The sequence below is a fragment of the Homo sapiens genome, chromosome 1 (genome assembly GCF_000001405.40).
Source record: "Homo sapiens chromosome 1, GRCh38.p14 Primary Assembly".
NCBI classification, from domain to species: domain Eukaryota; kingdom Metazoa; phylum Chordata; class Mammalia; order Primates; family Hominidae; genus Homo; species Homo sapiens.
Window position 1 is genome coordinate 47195499 of NC_000001.11, and position 19857 is coordinate 47215355.

The window sequence follows — 19857 nt, forward strand, 5'->3', positions numbered from 1 at the left end:
ACACCTGTAATCCCAGCACTTTGAGAGGCCGAGGCGGGTGGATCACCTGAGATCAGGAGTTCGAGACCAACCTGGCCAACGTGGTGAAACCATGTGTCTACTAAAAATACAAAAATTAGCCAGGCATGGTGGTGGGCGCCTGTAGTCCCAGCTACTGGGGAGGCTGAGACAGGAGAATCACCTGAACCCAGGAGGCAGAAGTTGCAGTGAGCCAAGATCACACTATTGCACTCCAGCCTGGGCACAAGAGCGAAACTCCATCTCAAAAAAAAATAAATAAAAATAAATAAAATTTACCATTTTCTTCCGTAGGATGAAGGCAACAAACCACAGACTGTCTGTGATATTTTCATATCACCATATAATTATTGCAGATATCTAGATATATCTTATACTCACCACTGTAGAAGTACAATAGTCATTGGACCTTCCACAAGATCTTGTTGTTGAATACATTATAAATGGACACATAAATCACTATATTACAAACTTATATTTTTAGTATTTTGATAAGTACATTTCAATATAACTGACTTCCTTTGCAATGCTATGCATTTTATTTTATGCACTTAAAAACATTATTGTGAGAGGCCGGGCACGGTGGCTCACATCTGTAATCACAGTACTTTTGGAGGCGGAGGCGGGCAGATCATCTGAGGTCAGGAGTCTGAGACCAGCCTGGGCAACGTGGCGAAACCCCATCTCTACTAAAAATAACAAAAATTAGCCAGGAGTGGTGGCATGTGCCTATAGTCCCAGCTACTCAGGAGGCTGAGGCAGAAGAATTGCTTGAACCTGGAAGGCAGAGGTTACAGTGAGCTGAGATCGTGCCATTGCACTCCGGCCTGGGTGACAGAGTGAGACTCGGTCTCAGAAATATATTAATTAATTAATTTAATTTATCAATAAATAAAAATATTACTGTGAGAAGGGGTCCTTAGGCTTCATCAGACTGCCCAAGGGTTCCATGGCACAAAGAGAGTTAAGTCCTGGCTCACCGGGAGCCTAGGGCATATCTGCTCAAAACAATGCCATGTGATCTTAAGGTCAGACCTGGAGAAAGATTGGCAGCTCTCTGGACAGAGGCTTTCTGGAGCACAGAGCTAGGCTCTATGATCAGATTGAATGGGTGCTAACGCCCACAGGGTCTCCAGTGTCTGGGAGCTGGAAGGGGCAGAAAGCACCAGCCCAGAGCCAGTCAAGCCAAGGAATGCACTGGCTGTGACTCCTGGGTCCTAGGCGACCCCATTGGGCTGAGGAGATTTATGGCCAGGACCCCACAGTGGGGGAAGATCAATCAACCCATCCTGCTGCCCACTCATCCAGCCAAGAAATTCAAGGGCTGGCCCCATGCCAGAAGCCCGGCCTGCCAGCAGAGGTCCCAAAGCCAAATCTTACCCTACTGGTTCCAAGCACATCCTTTCCCTACCCAGGGCTCCAGGCCAGCAGTGGAAGCAAGCTGGGAGTACTGGGTTCTAGAATCACAATCTCTTCAAGCCTGAAAGCTCATTCTAAATGATGTAATCTTGCTCCTTATTTTTCAGCTGGGGAAACTGTGACCCAGAAATGGACAGTCATCAACTAAAAGTCACAGAGCAAGTCAATGGGAGAGATGGGGCTAAACTCCAGGAGTCCCTATGTCCAGCCCAGGGTTCAGTCCCTCTGTCAAGCACCTGCTATTGGTCAGTTTCTCAAATAACATCCTAGCTTTCTTTCATTCATTCACTCAACACATGTTTAGTGGCTACTATGGGACTGGAAATACAGTAGCCCTTATCTGAGATGCTTGGGACCAGAAGTGTTTCAGATTTTTTATTTTTTCTGATTTTGGAATATTTGTACACACATAGTGAAATATCTTGGGGATGGGACCCAAGTCTGAGCATGAAATTCATTTGTTTCCTATACACCTTATACACATAGCCTAAAGGTAATTTTTAGAATATTTTAACTAATTTTGTATGTGAAACAAAGTTTTGACTGTGTGGTTTCTTTTGTTTGTTTTTGTTTGTTTATTTGTTTTTTTGAGTCAGAGTTTCACTCTTTTTGCCCAGGCTGGAGTGCAATGGCGCAATCGTGGCTCAACGCAACCTCTGCCTCCCGGGTTCAAGCAATTCTCCTGCCTTAGCCTCTTGAGTAGCTGGGATCAGGCGCACAGGCGTGCACCACCACGCCTGGCTAATTTTGTATTTTTAGTACAGACGGGGTTTCTCCATGTTGGTCAGGCTGGTCCAACCTCCGGTGATCCATCTGCCTTGGCCTCCCAAAGTGCTGGGATTATAGGTGTGAGCCACCGCACCCGGTCTTGACTGTGTTTTGTCTATGACCCATCACATGAGATCACATGTGAAATTTTCCACTGGTGGCATCATGCTGATGCTCAAAAAGTTTCAGATTGAGAAGCATTTCGGATTTCAGATTTTTGGATTAGGGATGCCCAACCTGTAGAGAATAAGATCAAGATTACATTATACAGTTTTGTAATTACAGTTGCAGTAAATGTTTCAAAGGGAAGGTACAGTTGCTAAAAGTAAATAAAAGAGTTTGCCATCTAGTCTAGGAAGTCAGGAAAAGGTAGTATGAAATCTAAGATTCATTCATTGAACAAGTAATTATTGAGAGCCTCCTGTGGACCAGGCACTGTTCAAGATGCTAGGGATACAGGAATGAACAAAACAAAGCCCCTGCCTTTATAGAAATGACATTCTAGAGGGGTCAGCCAGGAAACAGACAGATAAAACAGTTCCAATGACAATATGGAAAAGTTCAGGATCAGGAAAATGGTGGGGGGGGGCTACAAGAAGAGGGTGTGCTATTTTATACAGATTCTCAGGGAAGGCGCCTCTAAGAAGTGACATTTGAGCCAAGAGTTGAAAGTGAGGAAGTAAGATGTTCAGCGGTGGATGGGGGAAGACCCCAGGCAAGGAGACAGGCAAGTGCAAAGGCCCTGAGGAAGGAGGCTGGAGGGAGTCAGTGTGGCTGAAGGGAGTGCAGGGAGAGCGGAGGAGATGAGGTTGGAAAGCAAGGGTGTGGCCCCCTCATCTGGCGTGTTGTGAGTGGTTGTAAGGACTCTGGCTTTTACTCCAATGAGACCAAAGAGCTACTGGAGGGATCTGAGCACAGGAGACATGATTTGACTGCCATGTGGAGAAGAGACAGTGGGAGAAAGAAGAGAGAACAGGGAGGCCGGCAAGGAGCCTTCCACAGTGCTCCAGGTGAGAGGCGAGGACAACTCAAGGCAACTGGGATCTGGAGCAGCTGTGGAGCTGAGGATCCGTGCTCTGAGTCTAGATGTATTTTGCGGGTAAACCCAACCTGGTCTGGAATGTGAGAGGAAGAGAGAAGCCAAGAATGGTTCTGAGGTTTTTAGTCTGCTCAGCTGGAGCAGACTGAGATGGAGAAGATTGCAGGAGGAGGAGGCTTTTTTTCTGAAGGAGGGGCAGGATTCACGAGTTTGGTTTGGAGAAAGGAATGTGAGTCTGGAGGTCAGAACTGAGGTCCAGGCTGGAGACGTACATTTGGGACATGTGGGTGCAGCCGTGGAGGCACTCCTCTAGGACCTAGAGAGAGAAAATCTGCAACAACTGGGGTTGGGGAGTGGTGTAGAAGAGAGCACCTCCAGGTTGGGAGGAGCAGGGAGGGAAAGTCACACCACACAATGAGCTGATGGGAGATGGGCCTGGCTGGAGAGCAGAGGGTGGTCAGGAAAGAGGTCTCGAGAGCCTTGCAGGACCTAAGAGATGCGGTCATCATCACCTTAGAGATAATACAGATAATACAGGTTTTAGGCAAAGATGCGATGTGGGAAAGTCTTGCATTTTGGCAAGCTCTCTCCAACTGCAGCTGGAAGAATGGTCCGAACAGGGAAGTGGGCAGTGAGCAGGCTGTGGAAGGGATCCAGGAGAAGGATGGTGATGGCTTGGGTTAAAACAGTGCACAGAGAGAATTGGAGGATGGAAGAGCAATTTAAGGGGTACAAGTGGCAGGATAAGCTAGCTGCATAGACGCAGAAGTGAGATATTCAAAAGAGTACAATCAAGGAGGTGCCTCGTCTTCTGATTCAGACAGTGCTTGAAACTTGGTGCTATTTTTTTTCTTTTCTTTTCTTTTTTTTTTTTTTTTTGAGAAGAAATATCTTGCTTGTCCCCCAGGCTGGAGTGCAGTGGTGCAATCTCGGCTCACTGCAACCTCCGCCTCCTGGGTTCAAGCAATTCTCCTGCCTCAGCCTCCTGAGTAGCTGGGATTACAGGCACCTGCCACCACGCCTGGCTAATTTTTGTATTTTTAGTAGAGATGGGGTTTCACCATGTTGGCCAGGCTGGTCTCGAACTCCTGACCTCAGGTGATCCACCTGGCTTGGCCTCCCAAAGTGCTGGGATTACAGGAGTGAGCCACCGCACCTGGCCGGTGCTATTTTTTAAACTAGAGGAAACTAGAAGAGCAGCAAGCTGGGATTGAGGAGAGGGCATGTGGTTATTCATTTAACACACCTTTCGTAGGTGTCTTCCTGTGCCAAGCACTGTTCTAAAGTACCATAGCTCCACAGCCGTGCCAAAGGGAGCTCACAGGTTAGTGGGTGCAGTGAGCAAAGAGCAATGCGCCGATGACGATGAGTCCCAGTGTGGACAGGCTGTTTGCAGCACCCGGAGGACATCTCAGGACGCAGCTCCATGTTTTGGTCTGGCATTCCTGGGAGGGATCTGTGCTGGGAATAGAGGCTTGGAATTCAACAGCTTATGGATGGTGACTGAGGCCTCCGGCAGGGATGACACGGTCCAGGATAGGGGGATGAGAAGCTGGGCTAACACCCGCCCTAAGCAACACCTGCTTAAATGGATGGGGAGGGGGTATCTATCTGAACTGAGGAGTAAATAAAGAAGCAATATACATTGTCTTCTAGACCACTTAGGGTAAGACTACAAGCATTGGCCACACCTCACATTTCAGGGCATGTGGAGTCATGGAACTGATTTCATTCAACATTTTAATTAACTAAAACTGTTTTCTTCCCTTGTTACTAATTTTGCCTTTAGTCTGTTAAATACTTGGAGGAGCTGAAATTTCCAGCCTGAAGAGTAGCAGTCTCAGAGGCCTCTGTCTCCAGATATCTGCAGGGCTGCACCAGATCAGAGAGAGAAACTGTGCTCTGTGCCCTCTGAGCATGGAGCTGAGGATGATGAAAAGAGTCACTGGGAGGCTGGATTTGGTTCAGTGAGAGAAAGCTGTCTAGTGATGACAGAGATGACCCTGAAAGGTGGTGAGCTTCCCATTCCCAGAGGTATGTGAATAGAAACCTTGAGCTTCCAGAAGGAGGTGGGCAGTGAGAGGTGTTGCAGGCATGTTTTGCCAGCCACACATTGGACACCCCTTGCTCAGTCAAGAAGCCACATCCAAACCCTCGGACCCTTTCACACTTGGAGCTTTTGTTTGAAAGGTCAGACTTCAACCCTCAAAATGAAGATGACTTTAAAAAGCTGGAGATGGACCAAAAAGTAAACAAAATGCAATTATAATTTCATAGATGGAAAGTAAAACAAATTTTTTTAAAAAGAAGAAGGAAATAAAATAATACATAAATGGGTGATCTGGGCTGATTCTGTGATTTTTTTCTTCTCTTTCTGTTCTTTCCAGAGTTTCTATAATAAAGATTATTTAGTTGAGGGGAGGGACAAATTTGTAGTTTCCAACTAAACAAAATAAGTGTGCATTAAAAGACAAAATCAAGTCATTTTTCGGATTTTTACTAATGCCTTTAAATAGCCCAAAAGTTGAACCAGAGGCCCACTTTGCCAGAGAATCTGTCCACAGCCAGGCAGGGCTGCTAGGGCCCAGTCTGCCTGCTTTCTGTAATTGGAGGCTTCCCCTCCCACATTCTTCCGCAGAGGCTTCCACGTGCCAGCACACACACAGGAGACAGCTGTGGTCCTGCCTCCAGCACAGTGTGGCGAGAGAAGCATGTAACTTCTTGAAGGAATGCCCACTATGTGCCAGGCACTGTGCAAGGTACTTTGGATTCATAACCCATTTATTCCCCACAATATAAGGTGAGTGCTATATCCCCATTTTACTGATAAGAACACGGAGGTTCAAAGGAATTAAGCTCAGAAAGCAGAATTTTAACCCAACTTTATTTGATTCCAAAGCAGAAATTGAAATTTTAACCCGTCTATTTGTTTCCAAAACTCTTAAGCATTATATTATACTATCTCCTCACATTTAAAATAATTGCTATTAAACAGTGAGCGCTGTGAAGGAGGCATATAATCTGAATGCCAGGAAAGGAGTCATTAAGTTCTTTTGGGAGAGGGGAAAACCAGGGAAAGCTTCCAGGAAGAGGTGACACTTGAACTGAGCTTTGAAAGATGATTAAGAATTTATCAGAACATAGCATATAACCTGACAGAGCAGATAGATGTTCAGTAATTTTTAATTAAATCAACTAATAAAGATAGTAACATTTACAGATGAAATAATATGAAGTTTGAGATTTGCTTCATAATAAGCCATTGTGGGGAGAGGGAGCATGGAGACAGATAGAAGTATAGGCAAAACAAGATTACTCACATGTTGACAATTGCTGAAACTGGATTCATGCCATTTATTATTCTCTACTTTAATATATGTTTGAAAATGTCCATAATAAAAAATTTAAGACAATTTTAAAAGATGCTTAGTGTTGGCCGGGCGTGGTGGCTCAGGCCTGTAATCCCAGTACTTGAGAGGCCAAGTCAGGTGTATCACCTGAGGTCAGGAGTTTGAGACCAGCCTGGCCAATACAATGAAACCCCATCTCTACTAAAAATACAAAAACTAACCGGGGAGGTGGCATGCGTCTGTAATCCCAGCTACTCAGGAGGCTGAGGCAGGAGGATGGCTTGAACCTAGGAGGCAAAGGTTGTGAGCCGAGATCACACCACTGCACTCCAGCCTAGGCAACGGAGGGAGACTCCGTCTCAAAAAATAAAAATAAAAATAAATGCTGAGTGTTCACTCTAACTATACTTTGACCTCTTTCAAAAATACTTGAAAGCTAAAGGTAAGTATCTTGAAAACCAAAAAACAAAAAAAAAAAACAGGAAGGGAGGGGGAAGGGAGGAAGGGAAGGAAAGGAGGAGGGAGGTGGGATGGAGGAGCACAAAAGAAGAAATTGTATCAATAAGGCAATCCCATTTATAATAGCTACAAAAAATAAAATAAAATACCTAGAAATAAATTTAAGGAAGTAAAAGACCTCTACAAGGTCAACTACAAAATACTCATCAAAGAAATTGAAGAGGACACAAACAAATGGAAAGACATCTTATGCTCATGGATTGGAAGAATTAATATTGTTAAAATGACAATAGTAATTGAAAGTAATTTATACATTCAATGCAATCCCTATCAAAATACCAAGATATTTTTCACAGAAATAAAAAAAATCTAAAATTCATATGGGACCAAAAAAGAGCCCAAACAGCCAAAGCAATCCTAAGCAAAAAGAACAAAGCTGGAGACATTACACTACTTGGCTTTAAAATATATTACAAAGCTATAGCAACCAAAACTGTGTGGTATTGGTATAAAAATACGTACATAGACCAATGGAACAGAACAGAGAAACCAGAAATAAATTCATATATTTATAGTCACCTGATTTTCAACAAGGATGCCAGGAACCTACATTGGGAAAAGGATACCCTCTTCAATAAATGGTGCTGGGGAAATTGGACATCTATATTCAGAAGAATGAGATTGTACTCCTATCTCTCACCATATACAAAAATCAACTCACGATGGATTAAAGACTGAAATGTAAGGCCTAGAACTGCAAAAGTACTGGAAGAAAACATAGGAGAAACACTTCAGGTTGATCGATCTAGGCAAAGACTTTATGGCTAAGATCCCAAAAGAACAGGCAATTAAAACAAAAATAGGTAAATGGGACTATATTAAACTTGAAAGCTTATCCACAGAAAAAAAAGAGTGAAGAGACAACCTACAGAATGGGAGAAAATATTTGCAAACTAGTCATTTAACAAGGAACTATATCCAGAATATACAAGAAACTCAGGAGCAAAACAAGAAACAATATCATTAAAAAGTGGGCAAAGGATCTGAATAGACATTTCTCAAAAGAAGATATACTAACGGCCAACAGGCATATGAAAGAACGTTCAACATCACTAATCATCAAGGAAATGCAAATCAAAACCACAATGAGATATCATCTTACCCCAGTTAGAATGACTATTATCAAAAAGACAGAAAATAACAGATGCTGGCAAGGATGCAGAGAAAAGAGAACTCTTATACACTATTGGTGAGAACATAAATTAGAACAGTGTTTATGGAAAACAGTATGGAGATTTCTCAAAAAACTAAAAACAGAACTACCATATCATCCAGGGAGCCCACTATTGGGTGTTTATCCAAAGGGAAAAAAATCAGTATTTCAAAGAAATACATGCATCCTCGTGTTTACTGCAGCACTATTCACAATAGCAAAGACATGGAATCAACTTGTGTCCATCAATGAAAGAACGGATAAAGAAAATATGGTGAATATACACAATGGAATACTATTCATCCATAAAAAAGGGTGAAATCCTGTCATATGCAGGAACATAAATGGAACTGGAGGTCATTATGTTAAGTAAAATAAGCCAGATACAGGAAAACAGATATTTCATGTTCTTATTCATATTTGGAAACTTAAAAAAATTGATCTTATGCAGGTAAAGTAGAGTGATAGTTACCAGAGGCTGAGAAAGGTGTGTGGGATGAAGAGAGGTTGGTTAATGGGTACAAACATCCAGTGAGATAGAAGGAATAAGTTCTACTGTTCAATAGCAGAATAGGGTGACTACAGCTAACAACGGTGTATTGCATATTTCAAAATAGCAGCCGGGCATGGTTGTTCAAGCCTGTAATCCCAGCACTTCCTAGCACCTTGAACCCCTGTCTTCCCCATTATCCAGCACTCCACACCTCCCCACTCTTCTCCTCCTTCTCTGGTTGCTCCTTCTGTCTCCTCCAGCTGTTTCTCTCCCCTTGCCCAGCTTTGAGATGCTGCATTCCTCAGAAATCTTGTTCCACTTCTCATTCCACACCCTCTTGGTGGGTGAATCCCATGATGTAAATTACCACCTCTATGTTGATAACTTCCAAATCTATATTTACAGGCTTGGTATTTCTGCAGAGTTTCAAGTCTGCATATCCAACTATGTTGTCAACATCTCCACTTGATTTCACAGACATCTCAAGCTCAGCATACCCAGAGTGAATTTACTCTTTCCCCTAAGCCTGCTCCTCTCCTTGTACCCCCTGTCGTTCTATGCTCCTCAGTAAATGGAACCACCATATAACTGGTTGTTCAAATTAGAAAAATTGACACCATCCTTGGGAGGCCGGGGCTGGTGGATCACCTGAGGTCAGGAGTTCGAGACCAACCTGGCCAACATGGTGAAACTCCATCTCTACTAAAAATACAAAAATTAGCTGAACGTGGTGGTGGGCACCTGTAATCCCAGCAACTTGGGAGGCTGAGGAGGAGAATCACTTGAATCTGGGGGGTGGAGGTTGCAGTGAGCCAAGATCGTGCCGTTGCACCCCAGCCTGGGCAACAAGAGCCAAACTCTGATTCAAAAAAAAAAAAATAGCTAGAAAAGAGGATTTGAAATGCTCCCAACACAAAGAAATGACAAATACTCGAGGTGATGGATGTCCTAAATACCCTGCCTTGGTCATTATACATCCTATGCATGTAACAAAAATCACATGTACCCCATAAATATGTACAAATATTATGTATCAATAAAAATAAAATAAAAAAGAAGAAATTACAATAGTATATATGGGTTACAGAGCTTGAGTTTTGAAATGGGACACATATAAGTTGGGATCCGGTTCTGCTTTTTCCTCGTGGTGTGACTTTAGTGAGTCCCTTGCCCCCTTGGGTTTTAGTTTATCCATCTAAATAATGGGGGTGATAATAGCACCCTCCTCTTGGGTTTGTTGGGGGAGTGAGGTGAGAAGGTGCTAGAAAGCACTTGGCATAGTGCTCACTGAGCACTATGACCCAGCCCTGTCTGCATTATACACCATCCAAATGCAGATCTCTCCCAAAGTTACATTTCCAACCCAGACCACTCCACTGACAGGGTCTCAAACGTAAGATGTCCTGAACTGAGCTCCTGAGCTCACCCCACTGAAAACCAGCTCCTCCCACAGCCTTCCTGCTTAGTATGCGGTGTTCTGGCCCTCCAGCGATTCAGAGGAAGGATCTCATAGTTGATTTTGACGTTCCCCTCTGACGCTTTCCACACTGGATCCATCAGTAGATCCTCTTGGCTCTTTCTAAATATATCTAGACTTCTATAATAATACTTATTACCACCTCCATTGCTGCAACATCCAAGCCCCTTATCGCTCATTAGCCTTATCACAATAGTGTCCTAACTGATCTCCCCAATTTTGCTATGCTCCATTCTGTCTGCTCTCACCATGACAGCCAGAGAGATTCTTTCGAAAATTTAGTCCCTTGCCTATTCAATATCCTCTGATGGGGCCAGGCGCAGTGGCTCACACCTATAATCCCAGCACTCTGAGAGGCCGAGGCTGGAGGACTGCTTGAGCTCTGGAGTTCGAGACCAGCCTGGGCAACATAGTGAGACCTCATCTCTACTAAAAACCAAAGGCATGGTGGCGCCTGCCTGTGGTTCCAGCTACTCAGTGGGCTGAGGTAGGAGGATTGCCTGAGCCTGGGAGATCAAGGCTGCAGTGAGCTATAATTACACCAGTGCACTCCAACCTGAGCAACAGAGAGGGACCCTGTCTCAAAAATAAATAAATAAATATAAATAAAAGAATAATAAAACAAATCCTCCAATGTTATTGCATCCCACCCAAAGTAAAAGCCAAAGTCCCTATGTGGACTAGAGGCTCCATGTGGTACCTCTCCAACCCATCTCTCACTCCTCTCCTCCTCATTCCAGCCATTCCTGCTTCCTTGCTGCCCTGAACCAGTCCATGCCAGGCACACTGCAGCCTCAGGGCCCTTGCACTAGCTGTTCCCCTCCATTACACTCTTTCCCCAAATATCTGCATGGCTTATTGCCTCATCTCCTTCAGGTCTTGACTCCGGTGACCCCTATTCTGCGAGACCCTCTTGCTTACTTCCAAAAAAGGCCCTCCCTTCATTGAAAACCCCCTAAAACACACACACACACACACACACACACACACACACACACACACACTCACTATTCCCTTTCCCAGCTTCATTCTTCTCTTTGGCATTTATCCCCATCCAATCCACTAATTATTTAACTTATTTTTCTTATTTATCATCTGTCTCTCCACTAAGAATATAAACTTCACCAAAGAAAATGTTTCTTTTTCATTGCTCTATTCTGGTCATTGCTTTAAGAACAGGACCTGGGAATACAAAAAATTAGCCAGGCGTGGTGGCGGGCGCCTGTAGTCCCAGCTACTCGGGAGGCTGAGGCAGCAGAATGGTGTGAACCCGGGAGGCGGGGCTTGCAGTGAGCCGAGATCGCGCCACTGCACTCCAGCCTGGGTGACAGAGCGAGACTCAGTCTCAAAAAAAAAAAAAAAAAAAAAAAAAAGAACAGGACCTGGCATGTGTGATGTGCTCAACACATATTGATTTTAAAAGTGACATGCCAAGGGGCTACATTGGAGCATTGAAGCCCCCTTCAATCACACAAGCAGGTGCCTACCTCTCCTGCAACTTTCCTGCAAAATCAGGATGCCAGTGCATGATGCAAACCCTTTCCGACTAGAGATGGAGCCGGGAAAGATGCAAGCTCTGGGCTGGAGGGTCAGCGAGGACACTCTGTGCAGAGGCTTTGGCCTTGTGTACCATGGACCTCTGGGGCAGTGTGGTGGAGTCTATGATCCCCTTAAAAATTAATGCCTTAAACACATAAAATAAAATACATAGAATAATGAAAATCAAAGGCATTGAAATACAATTGTCAAGATATTTTAAATTTTTATGATGTAATTATATGTGTGCCTCCTTACTCATGGATTAAATGAAAAGATCTAGCAACAAGTCTAATACCAACCATAATTTCAAAATAATGATTGGGAACAATATTTCAAGGTAATCTATCATCTGGGATGTAATTTCTGTTGGTAACGAAAGTCGCAGACACTCTTTGCTAGTGCTGTGATTTGCTGCCTACATTAACAATGGAAGGAAAAGCTATGTTTCAGTCACAGGGTGATGAAAATAAAGATGTAACATTTTTCCCATTTAGGTTTATGTCCCGTTGAGTTTTCTCCTTGGAGTTCTTGGGTGTCCCTGGACTCACCTTGGAGATGCCCTGCTCTAGAAGAGATCTGGAGCTGATGCTGGGGGTGCTAAGTCACTCACCACCCTGCGTGGCCCTGTACAAGTCACATCCCTCCCCATCTGTACAATGAATCATTACAAACTTTAATGATTCATTTGTGCTCGCCCACCCTGGAGTCTGATGAGTAAATATTCACTAAGCACCTCCTGTGGGTGAGCCCCACACACACTGGGCAGGATGGGACCATTAGCGACCAACCAGTGACACATTGCCCCAGGACTGAGCAGCTCATGAACAAACAGGGCGATGAGGCCAGGACTCGAATGTAGGGGATGGTGAGTAGCACCTAGACACAGCTCAGGGACTCTGTGCATTCAGAAATAGGAGAGGCCCCAGTTCCCGGGGTGGAGGGAAGCAGCAGTTGCAGCATCTGAGACTGAGTCTGACCCAAAACCTGCTCCTGGCGTGGGAGTCTACAGAAAGGGCATCTCAGGTGTGGCAAAGGCTCAGAGCTGGAAAGTCAGAAAGGATGCACTGGATCCCTTGGGGAGCTCGAGGGCCCTTCAGGGAGAAGAGGATGGAGCAGTGTTGTCACTCTGGTCTTGACTCAGTGCGGTTTTTTTGGACGCTCCCTGGAAAGCACAGGGATGGGCACGGGACCAGGCTTGCTTCCCTTCCCTCCCCAGTCCCTGTCCACGCCCCTCAGAGCACTGGGAGCCATCAAAGGGAGTGATTGAAGGCTAATCACAGCCACTTGGGTCTGAGGAGGGACCTGTCTCTCTCTCTGAGGACCCTCCAGCAAGGACAAGTGCAGGACAAAAGCCGTGCCTCCCTGCCTCATTAGCATCACACAGCCTGCCAGCCGGGCTCCCTTCCTCGCCTCTGCAGCCCGGCAACTGGACCAGCCAGCCGGGCTCTGGCTGAGCCCCAACCCAGCAGATGTGGACCCTAAAGGGGCCCATGGCCAACAGCCTCCCACCTCCCCTCAAAAAAACAAGCCAGGCAACCACCGCCTGTCCTGCCTGCCCCACCCCGTGTAGGCCTCTCCTTGTATTGTGGCCAGAAGCTGCTGCAGTGGCCAAAAACCCAAAGGACGCTGGAGACACATAGAATCCCTGAATGTCGGTGCTTAGGGTGATGGAAACTGAGATCTTAGAGATCCCAACTTTTACCTGCTACTAGGCTCGCTGAGCAGAATCTTACAATCTGAGGGTGTTGGCGCTGAGTTTACACTGCTGCTTTAGAATATGCTGTTGCCAAACAATAGAATGGCAGCCTCTTGGAGTGCCAGCCGCCCAGGACTTTGAGTCTTGAGCAGGGCTAGGCAGGTAGTGCATCAGAACTGTGAGGTCCCAGGCGATCCTGGGAAAGATTGGCTGGGGACTTGGGGCTGGGAGTGCTTGTGTGGGTCTGGATCCCACCTATTCAGGGGTAATGGAGGGGGGCGTGAGAGTGATGGGGAAGCCTGATAGCCCATTGAACACAGTGGCTCCCAGGGGATTGCTGGAGAGAGGGGCGGAGTGCAGAGAGTAGGAGCCTCAGCCAGCCCGTGTGGGAACTGCCAGAGGGCAGAAGGCGCAGCCCCCTCTGAGATCCCACAGAGCCTGGGACACAGGAACACCACAGGTCCCAAGCCGCAGAGGGTTAGCTGGGAAGAGCTGAGGACTCTGGGCTCCTGCGGCTCAGCTGGCTGAGCTGTCACCAGGCATAGGGTGGGAAAGGGTTTTCCAACTTGGTCCCGTAGCTCTACTCGGTCTTGGAAAGGCAGGGGTCTTGGGGACTCTTGTCATGGGATGGCAAGGGTGTGGGAGCCAGGCAGGGGCAGGTGATGTTATCATCAGACCACCATCTGCATAAGTGAGACTGGGTCAGGAGACATTGTGTCTCCCCTAAATCAGGGAACTCATGAAATAATGCAGAGCCAAACTACCCCTCCCCCTGTATATGGGGCCCTCCCCTGATTTCCCCTCAGAGAAGTCCTGTCCTAATAGCCTGGAACTGTGCAGTGCCTGTCTATAGTGATCATGGCAGTATTCAAGGGCTCACCTGATGTAGGGTACGGGTACTGGTTCTCCAAACAGTCCAGAATGGAATCTCAGTTAGGCTTCTCTCTTAGCCACTTGACCTTGGGCAAATCACTTCTGTGACCTCAGTATTCCTCATCTGTAAAATGGGAGTAACTGTCCCCTCTACCCTGGATTCTAGGGAGGGAACAGCAGGACAACAGAAATGAAAGCACAGCCCTTGGACATAAACAGCACAAGGCTTAGAGCAGGTGAGGCTAAACTTTGGTGACTCACATCCTCTTTCTGAGCTTCCCAGGTCTGGGATGTGGAGGCCCCCGGCCTCCTTCTACCAACACTTGCTCTTTACAGAGGATTTGCATAAAGTCTTTTTACTCTGACACATCAGAGACTCAGCTCTGCTCTTCTCTGGGGACTGGCATCGTAATAGGAATGAAGTAGGATGGTGGAATGGGTGGAGAGGTTGGGGAAGTGTGCTGGGAAAAGAAAGAGCTGACTGAGGCTTGGCTGCAGGAGGATTCCAGGCTCTCCTGAGCTCCGGGCCTTCAAGTCCTAGGACCATAGCACCGCAGTCTTGCTTTTCTCAAACATATCCTGCTGTCTGACTCTGTGGAAGCAGGAAGACAAACTTTCCTGCCTCTCTCTAAGCAGCCTCGCTGTGCCATGCTGTGAGGGCCTGCAGCTCTCTGACTCCTCGGTGGTCTCCCTGCCTTCAGTCTGGCCTTTCCACATTAACTAACCAGAGAGTCCCTAAAACACAGATCTGATGTCTTCCTACCTGCTCACAACCCTCTATGACTTCCCATTGCCTTTGCAGCATTCAAGGCCCTGAGACCTCATCAGCCCCAACACTCTCCACCGCAGGTGCCTTACCAGCTGCCCAGGCTGCAGCTTCCAAAGCACAGCCCACTCTTTCCCAAGGCTGTACCTCTGTCCTGCTGTTCCTGCTACCCTGAATGCCATTCCTCTCTTTGCATACCTGACAAATTCCTATTCATCCTTCAAGAACCAACTTCTTCTGGAAGCCTTGCTTGACCCCCAAGTGAGTCAGACTCCTGCCCTGGCTGACTTCTAGGGCAGCACTCCACATGCCTGCAACTACCTGATTGGCCTGCATTCCTAGAACTGCCCGGTTCAGCAAAGATGACAGTAAGTGTACAATGACTTAATGAATTAGAGAGGCTAAAACTGCGTTGTCCAGCATGGCAACCACTAGCCACACATGGCCCTTTACATTCAGAATAATTCAACTTAAAATTAATGTTGTTGGCCAGGTACGGTGGCTCACATCTGTAATCCCAGCACTTTGGGAGGCTAAGTCAGGCAGATCACGAGGTCAGGAGTTCGAGACCAGCCTGGCCAACATGGTGAAACCCCCACTCTAATAAAAATACAAAAATTAGCTGAGTGTGGTGGCAGGCACCTGAAGCTACTTGGGAGGCTGGGGCAGGAGAACTGCTTGAAACTGGAAGGCAGAGGTTGCAGTGAGCTGACATCGCACCACTGCACTCCAGCCGGGGGAAAAGAGCAAAACTCTGTCTCAAATAAATAAATAAATCATTGTGTTAAATGAATAAAAATGCAATGAGCTGCACTAGTTGCACTGCAAGTGCTCAAGAGCCACATATAGTTAGTGGCTATAATATTGGACAGGACAGACACAGGACATTTCCATCATCACAAAAAGTTCTATTGGACAGTGCTGACCTAAGAGTGGTGATAGAACACCAGCAGATCTAGGTTCTAGCTTCAGCTTAGTTCCTGGTTCCTACTTTGCCTCTCTGAGACTTTCCTCATCTGTGCAGCCCATCCCACATGCTGTGCAAGGCCAAGCATAGACAGTACCTGACAAGGACATTCCACTGATTCCATCATCCCACTGCTTTGGATCAGACACACGTGGACTTGGGGAAGCAGATGGGCAGGCGGCACCTGGCTGCCTAGAGGTGAGGGACCCACCCTCAGGCTCCAGCAGCTCAGAATAACCCAGGGTCCAAAGCTAACCCAGTGAGTCTCCTAGGAAGGCAGGCTCTGCAGAGAGCACGGCCAGTGTGCATCTCTCCATAGGCTTGAACAGGCCAGAGTGGGCCTGATGATCCCAAACTCATCTCTTCTGAACCCAGAGGGAGACCCAGGCAGAGCCTAGGGGAAGAGGCAGCTGCAGGGGCTGGTCCAAAGGGGAGGGGAGGAGTGGAGAGTCAGAAACGCGCTATCAGCACTGCCCGTCCTCCCCACTTCCTCTCTTCGAACGGATCACATCCTGTTATTGTGTGGAAAGAAAAGGCCGGGAGCTGGGGAGGGAGGCAGAGCTCGGACCAAGCAAGTGGGGAGAGGTAGGAAGAGAAAGGAGGAGCCAGAGGAACAGGACAGTGGGCAGCAGGGAGCTCCACCAGCTCCGCCCTGAGCCAGGTGGCCTGGGCAGGAGTAGGGGACCCAGGAGGGAGGATGAGCATCCATGGGGCGGCCTGCATCCCCCATTGAGAGATGCTGGGGCCCAGGACAGAAAATGGCACTCCCTCCTGGAGGCTTTCCCCAAGCCTCTTCCTCAGGCTCCTTCAATTTAGCTAATGTTCACCCTGGTCTCTACTGCCAGAGCAGGATCTCCCGTGGCTACCAGGCCTCTCTCACACAGCACTTGCCTCCAGGGTGGAAGGGCTCTGTATCCATTCCCTTCACCCCACTTCCACCCAGCCTGTGAACCCCTGCAGACAGGGCCAGGGCAGTCCCTTGCTGGCTCCCCTGCACTGCTCAGCAGGAATTCCTGTTGCTGTGAATGATTAAGTTTCCCACATCTTCCTCTTCTTTCTGTCTTCTGCCATTCCCAAGCATACCCCCTATCCAAATCCCATTTCCACGAATAATAACGGCTGTTTTCTATAAAACATAAGCACTTCACATCCATTATTTTGAAATCCCATGACAGCTCTGCAAGATGGGTGTTAATATCTTCATTTAACCAATGAAGAAACTGAACCTCAGAGAGGTAAAGTGATTTACCCAAAGTCACACAGCTGGAACTTAAACCCAGTGGTCTGACTCCAAAGATCAGCCTCTTTCTGTTGGCCCAGTTGCCCTTCCCATTCACTGCCTTCTGTGCCCTGGCCTCTCTCTTCTTGAACTGATACCAAATTGACTGCCCTGACTGTCCACTGGGCTTGTCCTCAAGTCGGGCCCACTGCTTGAGGCAAGCTGTCCAGCGCCCACACTGATTGCTCATAGTCCTAGCAGATTGCTGGGGCAGGCTGAGCTGCTGTGTCCCTGCACAGCACAGGCCTATTTGCTCTAAGGACACCAACTACCTGTTGACTATTTTGTCTTCCTTTCCTGAGAGGTAGTGAGCACTGGCTCTGGACTCAGATCTGACTCCAATCCTAGGTAACCTTAGTCAAGCTGCTTCCCCTCTAGGCCTCATTTCCTCCTCCCCACAATGGAGAGGATGACTTGGGTGACCCAGACTTACTCCCTACCTTACTCTGACTCACAGTTGCAGAGCCTCTGTTGCTGGACACCATGCCCAACACCATGGCCTGTGTCCCCATGGGCTGGTCAGTGGTACTTTACTCGTTCGCAAGGGCAGTGCGGCCAGAGGGGGAACACTGGCTTCTAGGGAACAGTTAGTTGTTTTGCACATAGGGAAGGAGGTAGCGGGCAGGCATGAGGAGGCTGGGCTGCCATGAGCAGACCAAATCAACAGCCTCCCAATCTTCCTATCTCCCCACCTCACCCCACCCAGCTCCAGTATGATAACCAGGCAACTGCGGCCCAGCCCAAGAAAGCCCACACTTGTCCTCCCTCTGCCCACAGCAACAAAAGCAGTGCAAGGGCAGAGCTGTACATCTGCCCCTGACTAGCTCAGGACCATGGCTACAGCAGAAGGCACTGGAGCTGCATCTCTGTAACAATGATTCTGCCTCCCACCCATCTCCACTCTTTCATTCCATGCCGGCCTCAAAACTGAGATTCTACACAGGGGAACCTTCTCATTCGGCAAATGCTGAAAGGAACCTGTGCCAGGTCTATCATAGGGTGCTGGAGGCGAAGAGATAGATCGCACGTGATATTGCCTCAAGGAGCTCATGTTTTAGTGGGAAAGCAGACAAGGAAAGGAAGGCCCGTGGGGGGCACCAAGGAGGCAGTTGACCCCATAGAGTAGTCAGGACAGTTTGCTGGATGTTGAGGACAAGTTAACCAAATGAAAGGAGGGCAGAAAGAGAGGATGGGTAGATTGTCCTGGGAAAAAGAAACAAAAGGTGCAAAAACTGGAAGGTCATTAAAAAAAATAAAATAATGTGATCTGGAATAGAAAGGATGGTACAATCGGAGCAAAGAGAATAAAAAAGTGGTGAGGGTTGAGGCTGACCGGGTCAGCAGGGCCATTTCAGGCAAGGCCCCAGTTGCAGCTCTTTTCCCTGGAGGACAGAAGGGCCCCCAGTGCCTCAGGGACTGAGCTGTCCTGGGAGGTGGGAAGTCTGGTCCTCCCCTGCCGATCACTATGGGATGTGTGGCCCTGGAAAGACTCTTTTCCTCTCTGGCCCTGTCTCCTCTTCTGGAGACATGTACACTAGCCCACATGGCCCCCCAGGGTCAGGCCAACCTGGACATTCTATCACCTCATCGTTTCTGCCTTGCTGGCCGCAGAGTTCACGGGCCCTTCCAGACCTCAGCGTGGAATGCCTTGCCCTCTCCTGGGAAAAATCCTTCTGGAAATGGTGCTCCTCTCTTCCCATTCTTTAGTCCAGGACAGTGAGGCTTCTGCCTCTATCCCTCCCCTGGTGTCACTGTCATCCAAGTCATCAGTGACCTCCATATTGCTAAATCCAATCAACACTTGCAGGCCTTTCTTGCCTGACCACTCAGCTGCGCTGGACTTGCCTAACCACTTCCCTCACCCTTTTCCTCTGAAACGCCACAGTCTCTAAAACAGCACACTCTCTGTTTTTCTCCTTCCTCTCTGATTGCTCTTTCTCATTTCTCTCCCTCAAGCCCTTAACCACAGGTCCCTTCCTCATACTGCTCCTCTCACCTGTGAGCACAGACCAGGCCAACACCACCACTGCTGAGATCCACAGCCAGCTCACCCCACGGCTAAATCTCACCATCCTATCATCCCAGGTACCTCCTTGTCCTGTGCCAGGGAGAGGCACACCTGGGAGCTTCCAAAAACCAAGGAGCTTCTCTACAGGGCAGAGCATGGTCCCCAAGGACTACCCTGCCTCTGCCCTCCTATCTGTGGTTGGAAGCACCCTGAGGACAAGAGCAGCCAAGTCAGAGCCTAGCAAGATGAACAAGGCTCACCCCAAAAAAGCCAGAGTTATCTGTGAGGTCCTTGAACTCACCTCTTGGCACAACTTTTTTCTTAATACTAATCACTTTGTAACTTACTACAGAATCAACATATTTATTACAGTTGTGTGTGTCTGTGTGTTTACCGTCTCCCCTGCTAGAAGTTAAGCTCCACCAGAACAAGAACAGGGATCTTTGTTTTATTCAGTGTGGGATCCCCGGTACGTAGAACAATACCAGGCCCA

At 47.4% G+C, this 19857-nt stretch overlaps 1 annotated feature.

Annotated features, from left to right (window-relative positions):
• Positions 12622-13208: an enhancer, noted in NCBI's record as "NANOG-H3K4me1 hESC enhancer chr1:47673792-47674378 (GRCh37/hg19 assembly coordinates)". NCBI's record gives its function as "activates a minimal SCP1, AML or CMV promoter by ChIP-STARR-seq in primed H9 embryonic stem cells {active_cell/tissue: H9 hESC(primed)}" and the evidence as "EXISTENCE:reporter gene assay evidence [ECO:0000049][PMID:30033119]".